The sequence below is a fragment of the Homo sapiens genome, chromosome 4 (assembly GCF_000001405.40).
Source record: "Homo sapiens chromosome 4, GRCh38.p14 Primary Assembly".
NCBI classification, from domain to species: Eukaryota; Metazoa; Chordata; class Mammalia; order Primates; family Hominidae; genus Homo; species Homo sapiens.
Window position 1 is genome coordinate 38,508,926 of NC_000004.12, and position 22,999 is coordinate 38,531,924.

General features: G+C 43.3%; 2 long non-coding RNA genes across 2 annotated transcripts in view, besides 2 other annotated features; one reads left to right on the top strand and one right to left on the bottom strand.

The window, feature by feature from the left end:
- The window catches only part of LINC01258 (long intergenic non-protein coding RNA 1258), a 102,519-nt gene extending 88,264 nt beyond the window's left edge, over window positions 1–14,255 (bottom strand). Inside the window, exon 1 of the long non-coding RNA NR_110951.1 lies at window positions 14,178–14,255. This is a non-coding gene — a long non-coding RNA (long intergenic non-protein coding RNA 1258). The remainder of the gene's footprint in view (window positions 1–14,177) is intronic.
- On the top strand, window positions 842–9,131 carry LINC01259 (long intergenic non-protein coding RNA 1259). The gene is made up of 3 exons (NR_149076.1): window positions 842–1,022; window positions 8,169–8,257; window positions 8,645–9,131. It is a non-coding gene; the product is annotated as a long intergenic non-protein coding RNA 1259 (long non-coding RNA).
- Window positions 15,429–15,478: an enhancer, noted in NCBI's record as "active region_21436". NCBI's record gives its function as "activates an Ori minimal core promoter by ATAC-STARR-seq in GM12878 lymphoblastoid cells {active_cell/tissue: GM12878}" and the evidence as "EXISTENCE:reporter gene assay evidence [ECO:0000049][PMID:35858748]".
- Window positions 20,483–20,712: an enhancer, noted in NCBI's record as "active region_21437". NCBI's record gives its function as "activates an Ori minimal core promoter by ATAC-STARR-seq in GM12878 lymphoblastoid cells {active_cell/tissue: GM12878}" and the evidence as "EXISTENCE:reporter gene assay evidence [ECO:0000049][PMID:35858748]".

Consider the following 22,999-nt stretch of genomic DNA (forward strand, 5'->3'; position numbering starts at 1 on the left):
GCAGAAATAGTCAATCTGGATAACACAGCAGAGCCCACCTGTATACTGTTTACAAGATAAATATTTTAAGTATAAAGACTCAGACTTGTGACATATAAAGTAAAAGAGCACATGCAAAAGATAGTTATAAGAAAGCTGGCTTGCTATATTCATATCAAGGTAGACTCCAAGGCAAAGAGTAATACCAGAGATGAAGAGAGACATTTCATAATAATCAAATAATTCATTAACCAAGAAGGTCTAACATCTTGAACATGTATGCAACCTAATCACAAAGCATCAAAATACATGGAGAAAACATTGATGAGTCCCAATCATCCGTAAAGGCAGAAATTGATTAATCACAGTCATAGTTGGAGATTTAACACTTCTAGATAAAACTGGTAGACAATGAAAAATCAGAAAGGCTATAGAAGATTTGAACAGCACTACCAACCAATTTGACCTTATTAACATGCGTGAAATACTAACTACATTAAACATCTGCAGACCACACACATTCTAAGAAAGGGTTCAGAGAGGAGAAGGAACGCTGGAGGAAGGAAGACCAAGCAGGTGATGGCTGAAGAAGAAATTTAACTGGTAGGAAGTGTGGAAAACCAAAGTGTTGAATAGAGAGTGCGATGTAAGCCCTTTTCTCCTTCTCCTCGTTAAATGTCTACATTACTCGATGCACTCTACGAGGTGGACTTTGTTTTGGAGATATGAAAAGGTAGACTCCTATTTTGTGGTTGTTGTGGGGTGAAACTAGAGGCTTCCTGTGAGAAGTCAACCATATCGGGCTATGGTTCTGAGTCCCACCCAGGATGTTTAAGGCAGAGGAGCCACTTTCAGCTCAGACACAAGACAGGTGAATGCCTTCATCATGACTGCCAGAGAGGGAGGAGGCCAACCTGGCACCACCATGGAGGTCCTCAAATCTACCACCCTGGCAGAGGCGAGCTGTGAGATGGCCCTGGCTTTTGTGGGACCACCTTCTGAAGGTCATCTGGAACTGGATGAGAAGTGCTCAAGGATATAAGGTTAGGAGCAGTTTCTCCAAGAAACTCCCTCATAAAACCACAGGAAGATGGTGTTTGAGCTAGTTTTGATGGAGACACTTAAGCTCTTGAGAAACTGGATTATTTCCTGGAAGGGGAAACAGGACCACTGCAGAGAGGCCTGAGTGAATTTCACTCCCTGGCTCCAGCCTCATCTGCTGCTGCAGGTTGACCTGGAGCCTGGAGTCCTTCTGTGGGGCTTACAGTGCAGCCAGCACTGCCCGAAGCTGTAGACACTTAGGGAAGGGGTGAGTACTACCAAGGTGAGGACTACTTAGGCAGCCTTGTGTTGTGAGTAGACTAAGCAGCAGAAATGCTACAGAGTGGGCCAGGCCCAGGGGTGAAGAAGCAACAAATCAGTGGAATGTTTGCAATGTTTTGGTCTTAGGAATTATACCAGGCCTCAAAGTCACAAAGCCTCTCTGTGGTCGAACGCCAGCCAGCCCTCACACAGGCATATGGTGGTGTGGGGAGATGCTGGGATCCATGTGGCAAGCTCCTGACCACACATCAACAGAGGGGTCAAAGACCCTCTGTGTCAGACTTGAGGAACTTGTAGAGAGTCATAAGCTGGGTAAATACAATTTTGAAAATCAGGCCTAGGGGAGTGTTTATAGCAAAATAGCAAGAAGAAAAATTTAGGCTTCACCAGCAACCGGGAAGGCTCCTAGATTCTCCTTGACTGTGGAGGAAAAGGTTGAAAGGAAGACCAAGGTAAGGAGACTCAAAGGGAACGGAAATCTTAAAGGGTTATTGGTTAAGTTGCTCACTGTCTGGTACATGATGGAGCCACCCTGTGCCATCTGCCTCTTACAAGCCTCAGGAAAGTCTAGAAGGTTCCTTTGGCTGGAGGAGAAAATGGGAGGCTGAGCCCTGTGGGCTTCAAGGCTGCCACAGTGGAGCTACACATGGATTACACAAATCACAGGGATCCACTTTGTGGAAGGAAATCCACTTTCTCCATTTTTTAACATTGACAGAATCCTAAAAATTAAATAGATCAATCTATGAAGTATGCAGCTCATTTGGAGCTCATGACAGACAAATGAAAATGCAAGGGCAAAGAAAATACACCAAATGCTGTCAGAAGCTGAGCCAACCATATTCTCTTGTCCTGTGTGTTCGTTTGCTAAGGTTGCCTCGTAACTAAGTACCACAGACTGGGTGGCTCAAACCATAGAAATTTATTCTTCTCACAATTCTGGAGGCTGGAAGTCCAAGATTAAGATGTCAAGAGGGCTGATTTCTTCTGACACCCCTCTCTTTGGCTTGCAGATAGCTGTCTTCTCCCTGTGTCCTCACATGGTCTTCCTTCTGTGTGGAAGGAAGACATGTCTGTGTCTGTGCCCAAATTTCCTCTTCTTATAAGGACACTACCCTAATGATCTCATTTTCATTTAATTACTTCTTTTCTTTTCTTTTTAGATGGAGTCTAGTTCTGTCGCCAGGCTGGAGTGCAGTAGCGCGATCTCAGCTCACTGCAACCTCCACCTCCTGGGTTCAAGTGATTCTCCTGCCTCAGCCTCCCAAATAGCTGGGATTACAGGCACGTGCCACCACACCCAGCTAATTTTTGTATTTTTAGTAGAGATGAGATTTCACCACGTTGGCCGGGATGGTCTCGATCTCCTGATCGTGTGATCTGCTCACCTCAGCCTCCCGAAGTGCTGGGATTACAGGCATGAACCACCGTGCCCGGCTACTCAATTACTTCTTTAAAGGTTCCATCTCCAAATTCCAAGGTACTGGGAGCTAGGGCTTCAGCATTTGAATTTTGGGGAGACACGGTTCAACCCATAACATCCTCCACGCACAGCATCTTCTTTCTGCTAAGTTCCTGGAAAACACCGTTGTCGTTCTCTAGATCATAAACCCTGCATCTGTTTATGCAGATATCTGAGATTTTTCCAGATATTTTCTCCCTTGTATCCTCTGTTTCTATGAAGGTAAAAAACATGTTCTTCTAAATCTTATCTGACCTCTCCAGACTGTCTTTTCAGAGACAGACTTCCTGAGAAATGCATGGCTCCCCTACATGCTACAGGTTGTTTTACTGTGATTTCATTTAGTCCTCTAGAAAAAGCCAAGAAACCTGAAACCTATATCGGCAAAAAAAAAAAAAGGACTGTCTTTTACATCTTTCAGACATTCTAACCTGTCATGACCCTCTTTCAGCCCCCGCCCCACCTCCAATCCAACCCATCCAGTAAGACTTTGGGAACTTATCTGAGAACACCCTGGAAGGGTTAGAACACACAACTGTGTAGCACCATGTACAGCACATGGCATAAAGAAGGATGAAGATGGCAAGGCTTGGTGGCTCATGCCTGTAATCCCAGCACTTTGGGAGGCAGAGGTGGGTGGATCACCTGAGGTCGGGAGTTCAAGACCAGCCTGACCAACATGGAGAAACCCCGTCTCTACTAAAAATACAAAATTAGCCGGGCGTGGTGGCCTATGCCTGTAATCCCAGCTACTTGGGAGGCTGAGGCAGGGGAATCACTTGAACCTGGGAGGCGGAGGTCACAGTGAGCTGAGATTGCACCATTGCACTCCAGCCTGGGTAACAAGAGTGAAACTCTGTCTCAAAAAAAAAAAAAAAAAAAAAAAAAAAGAAGGATGAAGATGACAGAGCAATTCACAGGGCTGAGAAGAAGAGTAGCCCCAGGAAATAGTAAGTTGATGTGAGAGCCCAGAATAGAGAAGACAGCCAGAGCAGCCCCTATGGAGCAAAGGTTGTAGGAAAGCCTTCTAGAAACATCACCTGAGTTGTGAGGATCTTGCTTCTTTTCAGCCATATCTCCACCAACCTCCTTACAAAAAAAACCTACACTCTAACCAATAGTAGTTATCATTCCCCAAACTCACTGTGCTTTCCTCTTTGCCTCAGCTGAAATCCTCACCTCTGTGTGGAATATTTTTTCTGCCCCAACCTCAACCTATTGAAATTCTATCCTTTCATGAAGATCAAGTTCTATTGTTGCACGAAGCCTTTAGTCATCATCACAGTTGGGAAGTCTTCCCCCAGTCAGAGCTCTCAGTGTATTTCACTGATGCCTCTTTCCCTGAAAGATTTGCATAGAAATGGAAGAGACCACCTGCTAAAGGGGAACTACAATGCGTTTTGGTGCGATGACAATGATGAGGAGTATTTGCTGAGCATTTACTACACATCAAGCACTTACTCAATGCATTTCTCATTTATCCTTCATAACCCTCGAAAGTGGCTATTATTATTTGTCCCATTTTACAGAGGAGGAAATAGCAGCTCATGGACACTTGTCACATAACAAGACAGTGGAAGAGTCAGGATTCAAACACAGATTTGCATGACTCCAGAGCCCATGTTCTCAGCCACTACAGACTTGGGTCCTAAGATCAATTATAGCAGTTACTTGCTTTGCAACTTTATATAACTCCATCTCTCTGAATCTCACTTTCGTCATCTGTAAAATGGAATGATAGTACCTTGTTGGGGTTAGCATGAGGATTAAATGAGATTACTTGTCTAAAATACCTTGCAGAGTGTGAGCTGTCTTGATAATTTATGGTGCATATAACTGGTGGTCTCCCTTTCTAGAATGTAAGCTTCTACAGAACAGAAAATGAGTCTTATTCATCTGGTATTTCCCTCAGCCCGTAGCAGAGTGATTGGTGCACAATACTTACCAATGGAACACATTATTTATTTTCTTCCCTAATAGGCTTTAAAAACAGAGTCTTTCTGAAATGGATTTCAGGCCATCCTGGGCTAGGTTGAAGCATGGGACACAAAATCTCTTCTAACCTAAGATTCTTTTTTTTTTTTTTTCTTGAGATGGAGTCTCACTCTGTCACCCAGGCTGGAGTGCAGTGGCACGATCTCGGCTCACTACAACCTTTGCCTCCCAGGTTCAAGTAATTCTCTACCTCAGCCTCCTGAGTAGCTGGGATTACAGGCACCTGCCAACATGCCTGGCTAATTTTTGTATTTTTTGTAGAGACCGGATTTCACCATCTTGGCCAGGCTGGTCTTGAACTCCCGACCACTCACCTCAGCCTCCCAAAGTGGCCTTTGACATTCTAATCCAGAAACTATTCATGGAGAATGTTCTCTCTCCCAATTACTTCCTAAATCCCAAGAGAATTTCATGCAATACTGTTAATATTTTGTCTTTCTCAGAGCTAGAGTCAAATAGGGTAACCAACCACCTTGGTTGGCCTGGGTCTGTCTCAGTTTTAGAACTGAAAATCGTCAGCTGGGCGTGGTTGCTCACGCCTGTAATCCCAGCACTTTGGGAGGCTGAGGCAGGCAGATCACCTGAGGTCAGCAATTCGAGACCAGCCTGGCCAACATGGTGAAACCCTGTCTCTACTAAAAATAGAAAAAAAAAAAAAAATTAGCTGGGCGTGGTGGCACATGCCTTTAATACCAGCTAGTTGGGAGGCTCAGGCAGGAGAATCACTTGAACCCAGGAAGTGGAGGTTGCAGTGAGCCAAGATCTCACCTCTGCACTCCAGCTTGGGCTCTGCCTCAAAAAAAAAAAAAAAAAAAAAAAAAAAAATTCAGCCCAGAAAACCCCTGAGATGGATTTCAGGCTCTGGCAAACTGGGAGACAGTTGGTCACCCTACAGTTGAACAAAAAGATTCATGATCATATAACAATAATTGATTGAATACTTACTGCATATCAAGTATGATGCATATACTTTATAGGTGGACTTTCAACCCAATTCTGCCTGCAACTCTAGAAGCTGATGATTCTGTGGAAGCAGATGTAACAGTTCACAGCACAGACCTTAAGGAAATTCTTAGGAGAGGATTAACCTTCAGAAAGAATTGAAATAGTTTTCCATAGATTCCTCTCACATGTGGCATTGGAGGGGCGCAGGTGTTCATATTTGCTTTCCCCAGAAGTGGCAGAGGGAGGAGCCAAGCTTCCTGTTGTCTGTTTTTAATCTCACTCAACTACAGGTTCTCCTTTATACATCTTCATAAATCCTACATCACCCTTCATATAGGCAGTCCTTGATTTGCACAGCAGCACAGGACCATCAAAATGACTGTGCAAGCTGAAACCATGCTAAGCAGTCTTACTCATCAATGAGAAAAGTTACATTTCTTTTATGATATTTAAACTTTTTTTTTCAGACTGGACATGGTAGTTTATGCCTTTCCTTTGGGAGGCCAAGACAGGAAGATCATTCGAGCCAGGAGTTTGAGGCCAGCCTAGGCAATATAGCGAGACCCTGTCTTTACAAAATAATTTAAAAATTAGCTGGATGTGGTGGCACGCGCCTGTCGTCCGCTGCTTGGGAGGCTGAGGCAGGAGAATCACTTGAGCCCAGGAGTCTGAGGCTGCAGTGAGCCATGATCATGCCACTGCTCTCTAACCTGGGTGACAAAGCAAAACCCAGTCTCTAAAATAATGAAAATTAAGAGTTTTTTTTCAAAATGTTAAAAACTCTCTTACTGTCAATTATAAATATATAGGGAAATGAAAAAAAGAGTAAAACTAATATTTATATAGTAGATGGTAATTTAAAACATTAGAAACATTGAGAATTGAAGTATTTTATTTCCTTGTAAAAAATGCATCATGAGTGGTGTGAATAATGCTTGCTTCTCATCTTACAACTTATGATATAGAGCAAGCATTTTTTCTACATCTTGGCAAATTGTCATGCTCCTTTCTAAGTTTGGATCAGCTTCCAACATTTTCTCCTTTGCATTTTCAATGTTGTAAAATATATCCAAGAATATCTTTGATGTGAAGTTTTTTGCCAGTATTATTTTCTCTAGGGCATCTTCATTCATCTTTTTAATCACAACCACTTTCCTCATTTTTGTCAATAATTTTACCTTCATTAAGTTTCTCTGGCTTCATGGCTGGAAACTCTCACACTTCGGTGTTTCTTCTATTGACATTCAATTAGAAATCACTTCTAGAGCTGGGTACAGTGGCCCATGCCTGTAATCCCAGCACTTTTGGGAAGCTGAGGCTGGAGGATCAATTGAGGCCAGGAGTTCAAGGCCAGCCTTGGCAACATAGTGAGACACCCCTCCCCAACACCCCCCCCCCCCGCCCGCCACACACACACAAAGTGAAAGCCTATAGTCCTAGCTACTCAAGAGACTGAGGTGGAAGAATTGGTAGTTTGAGGCCACAGTGAGGTATGATTGCACCACTGTACTCCAGCCTTGGTTATGGAATGAGACCCTGTCTCTAAAAAACTAAAAATTTTTTTACAGAAAAAAATCACTTTTAACATTCTCCCTTTTTGTTTTCTTGCTTCACTTTTATTTTTATTGGCCAATTCCTTCTTTTGATTTTCTATTTATGTAAAATGTCACATGGATTTATCACCAGGAGACAAGGAAGCAACACAACTACAGGCTTTGCAGTCTGCATATGAACTTAACAACAGATGCACAGGACAGACATTGAAAGAAGTGACGTGATTAGTCATGGTTATGTTGCACATCTATTATTTGTGTAGGGATTTGTGGACTGAAGAGCTAGCAGCAATGTCTGTGATTGGTTGTATTTATCCAATTGCTCACAATTAATATGTCATGATAACCGGAATATAAACTGTGATCCCAATTGTTCCTTAAGGTTTTATCAACATCTCAGAAGGAACCTGTTAAATATTTCCAAAATATCAGAGAAGAGATTACAATTAAAATCTACTGTAGTATTTCCCAGCGTTTCTTTAGATTTGCCTTTAGATTTGAGGTCAAGTGCAATAGAAGTCTAGTGCTAATTAACTAAATTGTGCCAAATAAAAATTTGTACATATCAGAACCAGACGAAAGGAGGACTGATGGTAGTATAAATGTTTCACCTCTACCCGGTCTCCTCTGCTAAGTTCCTCCTTAAAATGTATCCATTTCCTGTCCCATGGATATTTTACCTCTCTTAAAGTTGTGGAATGCAAATAAGGGGAAATCAATATTTAAATTCTGTGTATACGACCCACAGCTGGGTAATGGATTATTTTCCATCTTTGATATGGAAAGATCAGATAGCATTTGCTGAATGCCTACTAGGTGCCAACAACTGTTAGGTGCTTTAAATAAAAATGTCAACAATCAACAGAACATACATATGAGATAGGCAATATTGTACTCATTTCATACTACAGATGAGAAACAGCCTTAAAAAGGTGAAGTAATTTGACCAAGGTATAGGCAAAACAGTGGAGCCAATATTTGAACACGAGTCTGTCTAAAGGTAAGCCCCTGGCTTTCACCCTTCACTCTTTTACCTCCCGTATGTCCTAAAGCATTGCCCCTTTATTTCCTACATGAGCTGAGCACCTGGAATTTCATACCTCAGTGCTACTTTAGCCCCTGGTATTATCACCAACACAGCATCTACAAGATAGTTCTATGGACTTGTCACAGAGTTCTGCAAAACAAATCTCTTTTGGTCAATAAGTTTTAAACATAAAGTTTTAAATTAGAAAAAATAAATGTTTTGAGCCTCCACAGGGATTCCAATTGTTCCCTAAGGTTGTATTGACTGCTCAAAGGAACCTGTTACAATATTTCCAAAATATCACAGAAGAGATTACAATAAAAAGCTACAGTAGTACTTACCAGCTTTTCTTGTTGACAGTGGCCGTATATGAAAAGCAGGTTCCCCTGATCTGCCTGGGCAGTTTCATCCCTGCAGAGCTGGGATGAATGACAAATTCAAAACCTCTCTTTACACGTGGATTTGAACAAGAAATCTCCAGGAAGCAGGTTTGAAGAGATGGGATCCAGACACCTCCTAAGCCTCTTGTTTTCAAATTTGTCTGCATGTTGGAATCACCTGGCCATCTTTTTAAAACTGCTGATGCCTGTATGTGCCCCCTCCTCCCAAGATTCTGATTTCATTGGCTCAGGGTGAAGCCTCAGCATCATAATTTTTTTTTTTTAATAGAGTCTTGCCCTGTTGCCCAGGCTGGAGTGCAGTGGTGCAATCTCGGCTCACTGCAACCTCTGCCTCCCAGGTTCAGGCAATTCTCATGCCCCAGCCTCCTGAGTAGCTGGAAATGCAGGTGCACACCACCACACCCAGCTAATTTTTTGTATTTTTAGTGGAGATAGGGTTTCACCATGTTGACCAGGCTGATCTCGAACTCCTGAGCTCAGGCAATCCACCTGCCTCAGACTCCCAAAGTGCTGAGATTACAGGCGTAGCCACCACACCTGGCCAGCATCATGAGTTTTAAAGGCTTCCCAGGTGAGTCTGATATGTGGCAAAGTCTGAGAACCACCAACCTAGGCAATCTAATCAGAAAAGATTTCCACAGATGTACTGATGATATTAACTATTGGTACTTGGGGTACGTTTTAATTAAGTTATAGCTAGGAATGATAATGGCTAATGTGAATCACTATGAAAGATATTTTTTAAACAAAGACTATAGACTGAAAAATAAAAAGATATGCAAATTATGCAAAAGCAAACACAAAACAATGTTATAGTGTGTGTGTATGTGTGCGTGTGCACATGTGCACCTGACTGTAACTGCACACTATAAGCACTCTGAGATTGGGCTGGTTGTCAATGAAGACTTCAGCATTACATGTAAGAGAATATATTGATGTGTTACTTTGTAATTATAAATAAAGTAGATTTTATAATTCATTGTTTTGGGTTTGTTTCTAAAAGAGATTATTCCTTTTGGGCCATAGCCTCCAGGTGGAGAAAGGAGACTGCACTAAGAATGGGCCGAGTCATCAGACAGCTGAAGATAATATAGGAAAATGGAAATAAACAAGGAGTAACTTAATTTTATCCCAGACTTTGGCATACGCCCAAAACAAGAAGTCATTCTCTCTCCTAAAAGAAGGGGCACTATTTGTACCTTTAGAGACTGTCTTGTTCTGAATAATTTTTCCCATCTGTTTTGTGGGAGAGATACAAGCTGATTTTTCCCCCAACCATCATGGAGATTTTATTTTAATTCAGGCACAATTGAAGTGACTAAACAAAGTGCAGGAAAACTTCTTGAGGTTGCAAGAGTGAGCAAAAATATGGCAAAGGGACCTTAATATATATACAGGTAAGATCATAAATTATAAGGAAGTTTTCTAAAATGATTGCACAGAATGATGGGTTCTGGGATATTCGTTATTGCCAAGAAAGAGTACCTTGAAGACATTGTAGACTACAGAACTGGAAGTGGCCCAAAGATGCATAAGAAAAATAATAATAATAACAAAAGTCACTTATTGAGTGGTTATAATATTCCAGCTTACCATTTTAAGCACCTTGCTTTAATTATTTTATTTTATCCTTATAAGGCAATATACTATGATCAGCCTGATTTTACAAATGAATATGAGATTAAATAATTTATCCAAGGTCACATGTCTCATAAGAGACAGTGCGGTGCCCTATCAAGGCACTTAACCTCTGGGCTAACCACTGCTCTTAGCAGTAAGGGTGATGTTTCCCCAAGTAGACACTAGAAACAACAGGCATGATACCAGCAACAATGGCAAAAAGATTCCATGGTCAGATTTACAGGGTAAAACTCTTACTAAGGACATGTCTGTAATATGCTAATGTAAATTAAGAAAATAAAGGAGATGGCGATCACATGATTTGACTTTAGAGTTTTATTTTTACAGATGAAAGTGTGAAGTATGCTGTGGAAAATGCTGTTTCAGGTTGGTTTCCTTATGGAGACGATAAAATGAATTTTCTGGGAGGGGTAATGATTGAGAGGATCTGGTGGTGATGGACCTGCATGACCCTAAAGAGACTCAGCTGGAGGGAGGTCTGAGGCTGAATTTGGGGAGCATGAGTGGCTGACAAAGAAAGACAGCACAGAAATAGGGAACAGAGAGGAGGCCAAACTGGAAAAATCAAAGCAGAACTGTGACCAACACAAGGAAGTGGCTCAGCAGTCAGCAGATGGGATGTAAGTAGATACAAGGAGGGAATTAAGCACTAAGGCAGAACTGAGTTTCTTGAACAATGACAAAAGGTGGGGCAGGGGCATCAGGAACAGGTTCAAAGTTTACACATAAAAATTGGGCTCAGAGTCAGGACTAATAAGAGGCAAGCTTGGCATCTCGGAGTTCCAGAAAGAAAGGAAGTACTAAAAGCAAAAAACAAAAAAACCCTACATTGACAGTGGTATGTCAAAAGGCCACAGGAACCAACTGAAAGAGCTCCCAATGGCCAAAGCTGGAACAATTTGAGCAACAAAACAAAGTAGTACTGAATTATAACCCAAAGTATAAAATAAATATCCATATATCCACACTGATATTAATAAGTGATTAGATAAATTAATAAATGGGGAGGACAGACAAATCTCCCATGCAGAAGAATTCTGAAGAATTTATGTAGATACTCCATGCTCAAGGTAGGAGAACATAAATCCTCACTCCTTTAGTGTAAGTTGCACATAGTAAATTCCCTGCAAAGAGTACAGTAGGGAAAGGGTCAGGGGAGAGTCAATTTACAATCAAGAAACCTGACAAACATTACTTCAGCAGGGTGATTGATATGGTTTTGCTGTTTCCTTACCCAAATGTCATCTTGAATTCCTATGTGTTGTGGGAGGGACCTACCTGGTGGGAAGTAATTAAATCATGGGAGCAGGTCTTTCCCATGCCATCCTCGTGATAGTGAATAAGTTTCATGAGATCTGATGGTTTTAAAAAGGGGAGTTTCCCTGCACACGCTCTCTTCTCTTGTCTGCCAACCTGTGAGACGTGCCTTTCACCTACCGCCATGATTGTGAGGCCTCCCCAGCCACATGGAACTGTGAGTTCATTAAAGCTCTTTCTTTTGTAAATTGCCCAGTCTCGGGTATGTCTTTATTAGCAGCATGAAAACGGACTAATACGGTTATCAAAGCCAATATCAACAGTGATGAATTACGTTGAGAACACAGACCCTCAATACACAGTAACAGGAATGGTACTTTATCACTGTGATTTTCCTTCCAAAAACCCATAACTTCAGTCTAATCATGAGAAAACCATCAGATAAATTCCAGTAGGGGGGTATCCTACAAAATGCTTGATCAGTACTCCTCAAAACTGTCAAAGTCACCAAAAAGTCTGAGAAACAGTCACAGCCAACCAGGAGCCTAAGGAGACACGGCAAATAAGTGCCACATGGAACCTGGATGAGATCCAGAGGGAGAAAAAGGACATTAAATAGAAACTAAGGAAATGTGAGCAAACTATGGACTTTGGTTCGCAATAATGTATCAATACTGGTTTATTTGTCATAACAAACCCACCATAAGGAAGGTGATATTAGCAATGGGGTAAACTGGGTGACAGAGTGTACTGTACACGGGAACTCTATACTATCTTCTCAATTTTCCTGTGAATCTATCACTGTTCTAAAAAGTAAAGTTTATTAAAAAAAAAAAAAAAAGTTTGAGCTCTCACTTTCCCCTCCCCACATCTTATGTTTAGGGCCTGTTATGGGTTGAATTATTTACCCCCAAAATGCATATGTCCAAGTCCTAACACCTAGGACCTCAGTATGACTTTATTTGGAGGTGAGGTCTTTACAGAGGCAATCAAGTGAAAGTGGGGTCATTAGAGTGAGCCCTAATCCATTATGACTAGTGTCCTTATAAAAAAGAGCTATGCACAGAGGGAAGACACAGAGAGAAGATGGGCATCTACAAGGCCAAAGGGAGAGGCCTAGAACAAATCTTTCCTTCACAACCTGCAGAAGGACTCTGACAACATTTTGATCTGGTCTTCCAGACACCAGAACTGGGAGATGATAAATTTCTGTTGTTTAAGCCACCTGGTTCGTGGCATTTTGTTACGGCAGTCTTTGCACGCTAATAAAGGGGCCAAAGAGGAGGGGTTCAACTCATTTGCACCAGAGCAGAAGGATATAGGAGCTGGTGCTTTGAGTTGGAAGGGGCAAAGACCTAAACCATGTAAGCTGATTTCTCAGTGTTATGAAGCGGGGTGGAGGCTTGGAGTTTCTTTGAAATCCTTGCCCCACTTACACAGGGCTTCCCAGACATTGGGGTGTTATCATGGTTACATTCTGCAAGCTGCAGCCTCAAACCCTGGAAGAATGTCTGTGACAAAGCTTGCAGATAGTAAATCAGGCCACCAGGAAAGGAGATCCCCTGGATTTCGGTGTCCCAAAGGCACCAAGAAGGATAATGACCACAAGTGATGGAGAAGGGGCCAGCCGGACACGGTGGCTCACGCCTGTAATCCCAGCACTTTGGGAGGCTGAGGTGGGCAGATCACGAGGTCAGGAGATTGAGACCATCCTGGCTAACACGGTGAAACCCCATCTCTACTAAAAATACAAAAAATTAGCCAGGAGTGGTGGCAGGAACCTGTAGTACCAGCTACTTGGGAGGCTGAGGCAGGAGAATGGCATGAATCTGGGAGGCGGAGCTTGCAGTGAGCTGATATTGCACCACTGCACTCCAGCCTGGGCGACAGGCGAGATTCTGTCTCAAAAAAAAAAAAAAAAAGGGCCTCCTCTCTCATTTTTTAAGCACCACATAAGTCCCAAGGAGCGTGTTATTATAACCTTATGAAAGAGAATGGTTTCCCTAAAATGTAATTGTGATAAGATTTTTCAACCCTTAAAAGCAAAGGCTCAGACCCACAGTTAATTGAGAAATGTGACTTTTTTTTTTTTTTTATAGAGACGGGGACTTGTTATGTTGCCCAAGCTGGTCTTGAACTCCTGGCCTCTAGCAATCTTCCCACCTTGGCCTTTCAAAATGTTGGGATTATAGGAGTGAGCCAACACATCTGGCCAGAAATGTGACATTTTTGATCCAATGGTTGGGGTTCAAATTCAAGCTTGTTAAACAAATTAAGAAAATCAAAATCACCTATAACACGTCGTCTTATACCCATAACTTTCCAGAACACAGGTTGGCTCCTACAGATAATTTTACAATAGGCAGAATGCTAGCAACATTTTATGAGCTGTGGTATGCTTTCTCTAGGCTGTCTGTGATAGGTTGCCTTCATGGAGAGTCCAAAATCAAGACTGGGACAAGGGGGCTGTTGCTTAAGGCTTGAGCCAGATGTTGGATCTCCCCAGCAAGAGCATAGGTCATTTCTGGGACCTTCCCTTTCATCCTCACCAGAGTTCAACATCCACTCTGACAGGGAAAATGCAGAGGACCTACCATGAGCACATGAAATTCTGAAGCGTAACCCATCAGGCTTCTCCTCAGCCTGGCCCTCAAGACAACTAGGTCATCACTGATTCCAGATTCTCCTTATTCCAGACTCCACCCCCTGCAGTGTTCTACGTCTTCTGAAAGGGCCGGTGCAGGGCGCCCATGACTTGTCATTTTTCCTAGGTCAGCACATCCTTGTTCTCACCACTGGAAGTCAAGGCTGAAAAATCTGATTTGGTTCACCTGGCTTACTGGCACTATTTACTGGTGTGCACAGCAGATTTGATTTATGATAAGTCTGTTGAAAATGTCACTTTGGGGCTTTGAGGTGTGGTGGGGGTCGGGGGTGGATGCTGCATTTTGTTTTGGAAAAGAGGGCAGGACTTTTGCCTATGCTTTTCAAATAGGAGGAAAAATTAAGTTCACGGTTTGATTCCTAAAGAATCAAAAAGTGGAGCTAGATAAAAATCATACCAATAGGCAATTGGGAGATCCCAAGCCTTTTTCTTTTCCAGGAGAAACTTGAGTTTGAGTTTTCAAAATGAACGAAATATTTCCAAGGAAGTAAAAGTGGGCCTCCTTTGCCGGCCATCCCTCTTCCCCCATACCCTCTTCCTCTTTTCTCCTCCCTTCCTTCCCCTTTTCTTTTTTCATCTGCCCTTCAGTCACCATCTGTACTACTGTAGGAAATGGGAAAAAGACCTACGCTAAATCAGCATCCTACTCTACCTCTTACAAAGTCAGGAAAATATCTTTTTAAAAAAATGTTTGAAATTAATGCGCACCTATCCAGATCTCTGTTTGAACAAGGGCTGTCATTTCTGATAAAGGCACGGTTTTCCGAGATCGTGGAGAGCCCAAGTGTGGAGCTTTAAGAACCCTGACAACCACCAGTCTTGTTTCGGGTCATGAGTGCACCATTGGTTACCCTGATGTTGAGTCAGCATTCTCCAGACCACATAAAGGTCAGGTCTATCTTCACAAAGTGAAAGTGCTGAATTATATCGAAACCATAGAAAAAAAAATAAGCCAACCCTGCCTCGAGTCTCTAAGTCTCTGCTCCGACAGTTTTGTTTTTATCTGGAATTACAGTAAACTCATTTCGGCATGGTTGCGGCATGTGGTATTCTGAGTAACTGACTCTTCTACCTAATTGCAAGTTGCCACATACTCTCTACAGCCCTTCTTCCTTTCCCTGCGCCAGCTCCTCTGTCAGTTTCACCCGCTTGGCTGGGTCCAGACTTGTCTCCTTTTCTAGGTGGGGCAATAGATCAGTGGCCTGGGATACACCATGGTAGGTGGGACTTCAGAATTCAGGCACAGGCCAGGCGCACTGGCTTACACTTATAATTCCAGCACTTTGGGAGGCCAAGGCTGGCAGATCACTTGAGGTCAGGAGTTCAAGACCAGCCTGGCCAACATGGTGATACCTCACCTTACTAAAAATTCAAAAATTAGCTGGGCGTGGTGGCGGGTGCCTGTAATCCCAGCTACTCAAAAGGCTGAGGCAGGAGAATCGCTTGACTCCAGGAGGCGGTGGTTGCAGTAAGCCAAGATCGTGCCACTGCACTCCAGCCTGGGTGACAGGTCAACTCTGTCTCAAAAAAAAAAAAGAAGAGTTTAGGCACAAAGTCAACCAGAGTTGGACTGTGTGCATCCTGGGAGTCCTGGAGCCCCTTGGGGAACTCCTGCCCACCCTGTGTTGGGGGCAAAGAGTCAGGAAGGTTTGTGCTCAGATTCTGCCTCTGCTATGGCCTCTGATTACTCTGTGACCGCTGGCAAATTGTGACCTTACCTGTAAAGTGGGGACACTAATACCCCCTCACAGGACTGTTGAAAGAACTGGAGATGATGCATGTAAAATCATTTGGCACAGAGTAGGTGATCAGTGAATGTTGGTTCTTTTCTTGTGTCCTCATCCCCCACATCACAGCCTGCTCAATAATCCGGAGCCATGTCCCAATCTCTCTTCCTCCTTCTAGGATGGTCTCTCCCCGCCTTGGTGCCTATCTCCTCTGAAGGAGGGTGAGCTTCTCCTCCCACTGGGCTGTACAGCTCACCTGGCTGCACTGGCTGCTGAGCTTGGGGCCACAGATTAGTATCCTGGCTGGTTCCCAATGGCTGAATTACACTCACTAATGCCAATTGGTGCCGATGCTGGTCTTAACTTTGCCTGAGTATGCACTGTCCTTTGACCACTATGCCTCAGGCCACCGGGCCTCCTTCCCCAGCCTGGCCTCTGCAGCCCGAGCAGAGCCTCAGGTCACTCCCCATGCTCAGAGGAGCCCCGCATCTCATCTCCCTCGCTCCCTGCCCACCCACCTCCCTGCTGCAGTTCCTGCCTTTGTGCCAAGACCTGCTCCCGTTATGTCACGTGCCCTCCATGGATGGCTAATTTGCAAAGAATCAAAACTCAGAAAACGCATTTATAACTTAACCATATTGAGTCTAACTGTCTCTTTGATCATTTCAAAGGCAACTCAGGACCTTAAAAAGCCTCAGAATTGGCTTCCTAAGCACCAAGCCTTCTGGAAAATGGAAAATACAGGAGTAGGTTTAGGAGAATAATCTGAATGGTACTGGTCCCAAGACACCCCTGAAAATTAGGTGACTTTAAGCAAATTGCTTAATGTCTCTAAGCCTCAGTTTTCTTATCTGAAAGGAAGACAATTATACTTGACTCATGAGGTCTAAGGATCATGTAAATAAAAGGACTTGGTTAATTTTAAAATTCCTGATCTCAGCTTGATGTTTCTATTTTCATAAAAGCAGGGATTTGGGCTTCTTTAGCTGTTTAGACCTTGAGGGGGGAAAAAGGGTTACCTAATTATAATTTCACTATAATATTCCGTTCACGGTCCGGCTCTCTGAACAGACTATTAGCTCCTTGAGGCCAGGTATTGTGCTGGCTACTCTATAACCAGTTAGCACCAGCTGAATGTCCAGCTCAAAGCAGGCACTCAATGAACATTCACTGGATACGTGACTTCACCATGTACGTCACTGTCCTGGCCAAGCCTGGTGATCATGTCTCTATCATATTCTATCTGCAGGAAGAATCCTGTCAGCCTGGCAGAAGGTACATCAAGTGAGGAGAATTACTCCCCTCCCCTACTTCCTACTGCCAATCCCACCAAGACATGGTGAGGACATCCCAGCAAATGCACAGGAGGTCAATAAAATACAAGGAGCTCCCTGATGCCTTCTGGTGCTACTGCCCACAGGGCACTGTGAACTGGGCCAGCTGGGCTTAGGCCATGCAGAATGGCCAGCTGAGGGCAGAGACAGCCTTTCTCCCACCAGTCAGGCAGCTTCTACCACTTGACCTTCCCTATTCCTCCAGGAGGCTTTCTAAAAGACAACTGGTGAAAACGAGGCCTTCATTCACTCCTTCCTTGCTTCATTCATTCTACAAACATGAATTGGACACCTATTATGTCCCAGTGACTGTGTTAGATGTTGAAGAGGCAGAGTCCAGGCCCGCAAAGAACCCTGGGACTCCTGAGGGAAACAAACAAGGAAATAGACAATGACAATACAGTGTAATGAGAGCCAGGGCAGAAGCAAGCACGTGATGTGGGAGCACACAGGTGTCTCCATGCTTGATCTTGCAGAACGTGGGGTGGAGGGTGCCGCTCCAGAGAGCTCTGGGTAGGGTGGAATTTAACCTCTTGAAGGATGAGAGGGATTAGGTAGGGAAATCAAGGAAGTGTGGAAAGTGAAGGGAGAGTGTTCAGTAGGACACACAGACAAAGATAACAGCATGTACAAGAAAGAATGGGTTCAGGAGGCCGGGCACAGTGGCTCACACCTGTAATCCCAGCACTTTGGGAGGCCGAGGTGGGCAGATCACGAGGTCAGGAGATCGAGACCATCCTGGCTAACACGGTGAAACCGCATCTCTTCTAAAAAAAATACAAAAAAATTAGCCAGGCATGGTGGTGGGCACCTGTAGTCCCAGCTACTTGGGAGGCTGAGGCAGGAGAATGGCGTGAGCCCGGGAGGCGGAGCTTGCAGTGAGCCAAGATCATGCCACTGCACTGCAGCGTGGGTGACAGAACGAGACTGTGTCTCAAAAATAATAATAATAATAATAATAATGGCTTCAGGAATTGGCAAATGGGGACTTGGTGAGGATAAATCCAGAGGATGAGATCAGGATGTGGGTTTCCACATGCCCAGGAACAAGGAAAGACCTGTCCTTTGGTGGAGACTTGGGTACTCGAAAGACAGGTGGGAGGTGTTATATAAAGCCTTTATCTACCCTGTTTTATGGATGAGAAAGCTGAGAGCTGAAGAGCGGAATCACACAGCAAGTAATCAGCATAGATAGATCATCATAGTTGGAGGAGCTGGTCCTCTTGACCATACGAATGAGAAATAAATCAGCTTCTCAAATGGTATAGAGGCTCCGGGCCCAGTTGTGTTGGAATTTACCTTCCCACCCTCCCCTGTGCAATGAGCTGCCTTCTTCACAATCCATCAAAGAAGGTAAAAACAGCCATTGCTTCCTGCTAGAGATGGTAGTGGTGGCTCAGAGAAACCCTTAAAAAATTATTAGATGACCCCTGCTGTGATCTGAATGTTTGTGTCTCTCCAAAATTCACATGTTGAAATCCTAACCCCACCCACCGCACCCCCCACCCCACAGTGATGGTATTAGAAGGTGAGGTCTTTGGGGGGTGATTAAGTCATGAGGGTGGAACTGTCATGAATAGAGCTAATGCCCTTAGAAAAGAGGCCTGAGGAAGTTCCATATCCCCTTCTACCACATGAGGACACAGTGAGAAGGCACCATCTGTGAGGAGATGGGCCCTCACCAATCACCAAATCTGCTAGTGCCTTGGTCTTGGAATTCCCAGCCTCCAGAACTGTGAGAAGCAAATTTCTACCATTTTAAAGTCTATAGCACTTTGTTACAGCAGCTTGAACTAACTAAGACACTCCTTGGCTGCCTTCACAATGCTTACCAGGAAGTTCTCTGCAAGCCTTAAAAGTTCAAAGCCCAGAAATGGCCTCTCTTGAATGACATCCTTGGGTTTATGAATGAAATAGCCATATCTTGCATCTTTCTCCTTTGAGATTCATTCTTTTCTAATATTGCATTTACTACCCAAACAGATATTTCTGCTGATATTCATTCAATCCTACAGAGATAGACATCTAGGTAACATTATTTGCAAAATTTTTCCTGCTTCTTTTTCTTTCTTAAGAAGTTGTACCTTTCTTTCCAGTTATAATGAATAAGACAAAGCAAGTCATTCTGGACTTCTTTTTTCTCTTTTTTAAATTCATAATGGTTGTAGTTGAATAAAATATAATTTTTAATGGATATACATCTCACAGAACAGACAATACATATCTTTCAGGTAAAGCTTCTCTTTTCTCATATGAACAAATAGTATGTGAAAAATAGCAAAATAGATCATAAAGGCATCTGCATAATACATTGCAACTTTTGCTAAATTATTCTATCTTGTTCAAAATGAGACCTTCAGAAGCTTTAATTTCCTTGGCTCAATATATTGTAAGGATTAATACATATCCATTGATTTATTTATTCATCCATGTAGTATCAGTTTCATAATATGTGAGGCTCAGTGCACAATGAAAATATGGGGCCTCTTGTTCAAAAATTAAGACTTTTCTAGATAGCAGCCAGGCACAGTGGCTCACTCGAGTAATCTGAGCACTTTGGGAGGCCAAGGTGGGCAGATCACTTGAGGTCAGGAGTTTAAGACCAGCCTGGCCAACATAGTGAAACCCCGTCTCTACTAAAAATACAAAAAATTAGCCAGGCCTGGTGGTGGGCACCTGTAATCCCAGCTACTCGAGAGACTGAGGCAAGAGAATCATTTGAACCCGGGAGGCAGATGTTGCAGTGAGCCGAGATGGTGCCACTGCACTCCAGACTGGGCGACAGAGCTAGACCCTGTCTCAAAAAAAAAAAAAAAAAGAAAACGAAAAAAGAACTTTCTAGATGACAGCAGCATTAAGCCAAGCATTAAAGCCACCTGTCTAAGCATGAGTCCCTGTGTAACTCCACAGGTCCCCCACCCAGGAAGCTGGACCTGAATCCACCAAATTATAGGCCGGCCCTGGAAATACAAGGATGAGCCAGTCAGATGTGGTCTGTGCCCTCCCCTGCAGCTTGGAGAAGAAAGGTCACCATGAGGTTTAATGAGGACTCAGATAAGGGAAGTGCTGGGTCATCTAGGAGCTACCTCATCGTAGCGGCCAGCAAAGACCTTCCTGAGGAAATGACATGCACGCTGAGGCCTGAAGCTTGACGAGGCTTCAGCAGGCCAAGAGTAGGAGGGAAATTATTTTCGGGCAAAGGAAGAGCATGTAAAAGAGATTGGAGAAAAGGCTGAAGAGTGTGGCATGTCTGAGGAACCACAAGGAGTGTGGCATGGCTGCAGCACAGAGAACATTATGGGGCCTGGCTGAGGGCAAGATGAAGAGGTGGATGAGACCCAGCCCTGAAGGGAGGTTACATGGTATCCTGAAGGCAGTGGGAAGCTCTTAATGAGTTTCTTGGGCCTCTCTCAGCTGCACAATGGGCCAAAGAAGGGAAGAAATCGATGGTGGTGTCAGTGGAAGAAAACCAAGCTCCCCTGCCTGGTTCCTGATGAAAAAAGAAAAACAGCAAAAACAAAAACAGGAAGTTAGCCTGCAGAATTGCGTTGGCAGGAAGTCCTGGTTTGACAAGTCATTCAGCCTGTGCTCTGGGCCATGGACCTACCACCTTGAAGCTGGTGCTACTCCACACCTGATCAGCAGATCAGAAGAGCAGGACAGGCAGAACCTTCCTCTTCTACTGCGAGAGCTCAGTCAGTGGGAAATGTGCTCCGGGCTTCCTGGTTTGTCGCTTAGCAACACCACGTACTTGGTGCATAGGTGACCAGCACTCTCCATGAAGCCTTCCTGAGTGACTCTGCGCCCACTGTGCCTGCTGGCAGTCATGTGTTTACCGGTTTGCCTCACCTACCAGACTATGTGTTGCTTGCGAGCAGGAGATAGGTCTTACTCACTTTTGGATTCTAGTTTCTCACAAAGTAAACCATAAATGTATTGGTAAACTGAATTAACTTATACTAAATCTAGTTATATCTGAGGTATAGTATACATTCAGTCATTTTGGGAAGACAACTTGTATTAAAGATATAAAATTTTTATAAGAGAAAAGTCCTTTGAGTTCTGTGCCTCTGGCTTTAAGATATGCTTTTGACATCCAATATTTTTCTAATTTGGGACTTTTCAGAAATGATCAAGGCAATGTCCATTTGATATAGTATCCCTAGCAGACAAGGATTATGAGTTTTTAGCATTGAGTTTCCACAGGGCATGGTGTATAGTAAGTGGTTCATTATTTAATGAATGTATAGATCACATACATCCATGTACACCAATTCACACATACACTTTGCATTACTAAAGGGTTTTACAGGTACATATTCAGTAGTTTTTTTAAATGTATAAGAAAAGTATAAATAGGAAAGTGTACCATAGTATATATGATACATATCTAAGATGTGAAGATTATGTTATTATGCATCAAAAATCATAAAGGTGGATGATTATTTTGATTATTCAGCAGAAGCATTTCTCCATGCAACGTTTAATAGAAAAATATATAAGGAAGGCAAAGGCTTAAAATACTATCTATCTTCAAACTTTTAAAAGAAATAGGCCTGGTCCAGTGGCTCACACCTGTAATCTCAGCACTTGGAGAGGCTAAGGCAGGAGGCTCACTTGAGGCCAGGAGTTTGAGTCCAGCCTGGGCAACATAGAGAGGCCCTTCTCTACAAAAAATTTTAAAAAGCAGCTGGGCATGGTGGTGCATGCCTGCAGTCCCAGCTACTTGGGAGGCTGAGGCAGGAGGATCACTTGAGCCCAGGAGTTAGAGGCTGCAGTGAGTATGATTGTGCCACTACACTCCAGCTGTAGCCTGGTTGACAGAGAGAGACCTGTCTCTAAAAAAAGAAGGAAAGAAAGAAATGTAAAATGATTTACATAAAATGCTGTAACTGTAAAATCAATTCAGAGAGGAAATGTTCAAGAATAAGTGATTTTCAAGAAGTATAATTTTATGATCTGACATCTGAGAAATAGTTGAACAAATGGAAGAATTGTCTTACTCCAGAGTATTAGAAACAAGCCAGTGGGAGGGTGTTCAGTGAGCCATTTGTAACTAGAGAGCCCTCCGGAGAAAGAGGGGGTGGAGTTTCTGAGGAACCAGACAGAGCTGGGATTTTCTCAGCTGTGTTTGCAGTTTCACTTAGATACCGTTCAAAGCCATTTCTAGCATCTAATAAAAACAGATGCACTTTTTCTTACAGCCCCCAAGTGTCTGGAATACAAATTTCCCATCTTGTCACTGACCAGCTTCTCTGTCCTTGGAATCCCTCTACCTCTGTTCCTTTGTCCCTGGGATTCATGGTTGTGACCAGACTGCAGACCCTTGCTACCTGATAACCCGCCCCTGTCTCGCCAACTCCTGTGAACAACCTACTCCACTTGAAAACAAACACATCCATCTCTTTTTTTTTTTTTTAATTTATAACTGAAAGAGGTTTAATTGCCTCACAGTTCTGTAGACTATACAGGAAGCATAGCGGCTTCTGGCTTCTGTTTCTGGGAAAGCATCAGGAAGCTTCCAATCATGGCAGAAGGAAAACAGGGAGTGAGGCATCTCCACACGGTGGGAAAAGGAGCATGAGAGAGTGTGAGAGGAGCTACACACCTTTTTTTGTTATTGTTTTACTTTAAGTTCTGGGACACATGTGCAGAACGTGCAGGTTTGTTACATAGGTATACATGTGCCA